Genomic DNA, 5007 nt, shown 5'->3' on the forward strand with positions numbered 1-5007 from the left:
CTCAGATGGGGCGGTTGCCAGGCGGAGGGTCTCCTCACTTCTCAGACGGGGCGGCCGGGCAGAGACGCTCCTCACCTCCCAGACGGGGTCGCGGCCGGGTAGAGGCACTCCTCACATCCCAGACGGGGCGGCGGGGCAGAGGCGCTCCCCACATCTCAGACGATGGGCAGCCGGGCAGAGACGCTCCTCACTTCCTAGATGGGATGGCGGCCGGGCAGAGACGCTCCTCACTTTCCAGACTGGGCAGCCAGGCAGAGGGGCTCCTCACGTCCCAGACGATGGGCGGCCAGGCAGAGACGCTCCTCACTTCCCAGACGGGGTGGCGGCTGGGCAGAGGCTGCAATCTCGGTACTTTGGGAGGCCAAGGCAGGCGGCTGGGTGGTGGAGGTTGTAGCGAGCCGAGATCACGCCACTGCACTCCAGCCTGGGCACCATTGAGCACTGAGTGAGCCAGACTCCGTCTGCAATCCCGGCACCTCGGGAGGCCGAGGCTGGCGGATCACTCGCGGTTAGGAGCTGGAGACCAGCCCGGCCAACACAGCGAAACCCCGTCTCCACCAAAAAAATACGAAAACCAGTCAGGCGTGGCGGCGCGCACCTGCAATCGCAGGCACTCGGCAGGCTGAGGCAGGAGAATCAGGCAGGGAGGTTGCAGTGAGCCGAGATGGCAGCAGTACAGTCCAGCTTTGGCTCGGCATCAGAGGGAGACCGTGGAAAGAGGGAGAGGGAGAGGGAGACCGTGGGGAGACGGGAGAGGGAGAGGGAGACCGTGGGGAGACGGGAGAGGGAGAGGGCACCTTTTTTTTTTTTTTTTTGAGACAGTCTCCGCTAATGGCACTTTTAACTGTTTCAAGCTTTCTGAAGAGCACTCAGGCAATGTGCCACTAGATCTATGAACGTTTTCAATCCTTTTATAGGCCAGTTCCACTTTAAGGAATATCTCCTAAGGCCATAAGCGGGTAGGAAATGAACCTGACCCCTAGGGGAAAGGTCAGAGATGAGGTGGGTGAAATGTGAAAATATCACATCAGCCTTGGCTAGCCTCTGAGGCAGAGAGAATGTGCATGTGAAATCTGAATGATGGCGATGTTACTGTAGAGTAACTGTCTAGTTCACTGAAAGCAGACTCTGGCAAATCTCATGTTACTGTCAAATCATTTCTGGCACCCCAACAGATCACAAAACACACCAGCATGCTGCCACCCCACAAGATAACAAACGTCATCAACATCAATAGGTGTTCAATAAGCATTTATTGATTTGTCCTTCTCCAGACAGCACCCCATAATTTATAAACACCCTTAAATTATCTCTACTTTTTAAATCTTTTTAAAGGCACACATTAAAAAATACATAAAACAATGTCATCTTTTTGTAAGGCTAAATTTTATGTACTAGGAATAGATGAATAGATACACCCTAAAGCTTGTACTTCTGCACAATGCTGGAAATGGCTTTACAGTCTCTGCTGCCATCACTCAGAAGTTCTGACTAGATCCTTCTGGCTCAATAAAGAACAAATCAAAATGTAATTTCAGGGTCTCAATACTTAATTAGAAACATAATACAGATAATTCTACAGATAACTCCGTGTGGGCAAACCAGAAAACTTGTCAACAGCGGAAAATATCAAGTGTATAACTTCTGAACTGGGGAAACTGGTGGGAAGCTAGTGGGACTCCCGCTCTCCTTGCTGCATTATGTATGAGTGCTTCCGTAGGAGCACGGCATTTAATTATCTTCACAAGAAGGTAAGCTGCTAATGATGTGAAAACAAACAATATAAAAGCTCCCATTCCTCTTATACTCACCCATCTAAGGATGCTCCTATTAAGAAAAATGGGTGCCAGGTTTCAATAAGAACATTTTGAAAGTTTTCTTTTCTTTTTTTTTTTAAATTACTATCTCTCTCTCCAGTCCAAAAAATCTGCAACAGTGCCTGTGCCATTTCCAAGTTCCTCAGTGTTGTGTAATAGTAACTTTTAAAAAATAACAAAAAAATCAGGTTCACCCTATTCAACCATTTATTCACAGAAATGATTTAAATTCACTATACCTTGAGAACTCTGCCATACTAACAATCCCTGCTCAGTCCAAGGGTCGACTGCATTACAAGAGTGTGTGTTTTTGCAAACACAAACAAGTGCATACCCAGCAGACCCCTACCAAGGTCCTTCATATTCACAGAAGATGAGAGTAGACTCAACTGAACACAATAACGATGGAGAATTCTGCTGTTAACAGGCCCCTATCCCCCACCACTCTATCAGGCACTTTGAGACAGAGTATGTGGGAAGCAACTCTAAAAATGAGACCCACCTCAAATTTTCCACAGTGAACATGTATTTTTATAATCTACTCATGCCCATCCTCAACCTTGAGATTGTTTCCTATGAACCACTCTAACAACAGCAGGCATAAATAGGGTATACCATGGGGATTTTAGGAATACGAATAAGGACACAGAGAGTAACTCATCTGGGAAGAGTGAGATAATCAAGAAAGCAGAGATGTCTTGAGGAATGCCACCTTCCTTAAACCCCTGCCCAAATACCTCTTATCAAGACTCCTGACCTCGGAGGCAGTCCAGTGGGTAAGAAATCCCCCAACTTCCCATTTCCCCACCTTACTACCCTCCACGCCCACAAACTGGACACATGTACCTTTCTCTATTGCCAGGTGTGAGCAGTCTACAGGAGGTACTTTAATAGCAAGGGGTTGAAGTACCAGAAAGCAGTTTGGATCTGGGCTGTAATGACGACGAGACATGTGAATGTCTTCTCCCCTGTAAAATGCTGACAACATGTGCCTCAGAGGGCCTCAGGAGAATTAAAAGGGATGGCAATCTATGGCGTCTGCCACATGGTGAAGACTAGCTATAGGCAGCTATTTGTGCTACCTGTCCTTATGGTCATCCCTCCAGTGTCACAGGAAGAAGACGTAAATGACGAAGAAGATGTTTTAATGATGTAAAAACAAACAATATAAAAGCTCCCATTCCTTCTTACACTCACCATCTAAGGATGCTCCTATTAAGAAAAAGGGTGCCAAGTTTCAATCAGAACATTTTGAAAGTTTTCTTTTTTTAAATTACTCCTCTCTCTCCAGTTCAAAAACTCTGCAACAGTGCCTCATCTCCTGGGGACAAGTAACCTTTCCATCTGTATTTGAGATCCACCCTCTCTCCCCCTTCTCAGTCACCTCAGTCTCTTGATTACCTCCCAGTTACTCTTTCCTCATTTCATTCAGGACTCTCCTCAAATATCACCTTAGCAGCAATGCCTTCCCTAGCCAGCCTACAGAAAACAGCACCCCCACCTCCCACCCACCACCACTCTGTTACTCTCTTATTCTAATTTCATTTTCCTCCACCAGGTACTTATTACTCCCTGATATTATATTACAGTAATACCTTACTTAATGTCCAGACTCTTGGAAAAAGCTACACCTTTCAGTGGAACAACGACTTTAAGTGAAACAACTTAAGGCAGGTCCTCTAATCAACATTATTTCATTACAATGTTGATGAGAAAAAAAATTAGTTTCCTTAAATGCTGTTTTGCTTAAAGTAAGGACTTCCTATGTATCTATTTGGTTTTAAGCTTATTGCCTGTTCCTGACACACACACACACACACACACACACACACAAAGTAAACTTTGTCTTGTTCATGCTATACTCCCTGAGTCTGGAATAGGATTGAGCTCCTAGCAGGTGTGCAATAAGCATTCTTTGAATGGAAGAATCATTTCTTCTCCCTAAGTTATCACTAAATGTCTCCCTTTGTATAGCTCTCCTCCTCTCAAGAAAGAAACAGGTTTAACTCTATCTCAAAACAGTAACAACATGAACAAATCCTCTACACACCTGAAAGTTCACTTCCTCCCATATTACTTCCCTAAAGCTGTTCTTGACAATCACTCCCTAGTTACCAAACCTAATGGGCATTTTTAGGCTTTGAGTGCTTTGCAGCATTTTAAACTATGGACCATTTCCTCTTCTTAAAATTCTCATCTCACTGGTTTCTTGATCCCTCTGATTGCAGGCTTCTAGGCTTAGCTTCCTCCCTAGAATCCTCCTATTATAAAACCCAATCCTTAAATATCACTGTTCCCAGGGTTCAATGCTGTCAATACCAGAAAGGCTCCCTGAGTTTTCTACTCAACTCCCAAACTTCATCTCTTTGCACAATGACCACTGCACATTTGCAAATCCAAGCCCTCCTCTTGACCTCTATGTGGCTATATCCAACCACATCCTGGCCAGTTCCTGAGACATTCCACAGGTACCAACAAAGAACCCCACAACTCTTCCAAAACGAAACTCAGTACCACCTTTACACACACACACGCACACATACACACACACACACACTCTCTCTACCTGCTCCTGTGTTCCCCATCAGAGGTTAATGTCCTGCAACCTGCCATGCCACCCAGCCCAGAACTGAGTTATCCTTGATTCCTTCCCTTTCCCGTAACTCCTTTAATTCCAGAATCCCTTGGTTCCTCTCCAGTCGACTCCGGTTTATTCCCATATATTTTTGTTGTCATTTTTGCCTGAAACAGCCTCTTAAGTGCTTCTCTATTTTCCATGTCTCCTACCCTCACCCCCATCACCCTCATTGCTACCAACAGTATGTTTTCCTAAAGTGCAAACAAAATCAGATGCTATCTCTTCAGTGGGTATTGTGTCTTAAAAAAAATAAAAACATATTCCTCATAACACAGAGCCCTGCATAAGCGATCTGGCCTCTGGTTCTTGTCTACTGCTCTGACATTATTTCCACCATTCATCCAACTATACTGAACACCTGTGGGTTCCGACTCCTGCCCTGCTCATTCAGGTCTTATTCAGGCCCTGCCTTGTGTGGTCTCATCCTTCAAAATTCAGATCTGGTGTCATGTTCTCCGGGATGTCTTCCCTGACCTGCCTAAATCTCATAAGCATCTTGTGATAGGCACTAAACTAAAGCAGCTGTATCACCATGTTATTATCATCTTTTAC

At 45.3% G+C, this 5007-nt stretch overlaps 1 protein-coding gene across 7 annotated transcripts in view; it reads right to left on the reverse strand.

Annotated features, from left to right (window-relative positions):
- CHD6 (chromodomain helicase DNA binding protein 6) overlaps positions 1-5007 on the reverse strand; it is a 216295-nt gene that overhangs the window by 153446 nt on the left and 57842 nt on the right. The gene's annotated exons all lie outside the window — the stretch shown is intronic.

The sequence above is a fragment of the Homo sapiens genome, chromosome 20, assembly GCF_000001405.40.
Source record: "Homo sapiens chromosome 20, GRCh38.p14 Primary Assembly".
Classification (NCBI taxonomy): Eukaryota; Metazoa; Chordata; class Mammalia; order Primates; family Hominidae; genus Homo; species Homo sapiens.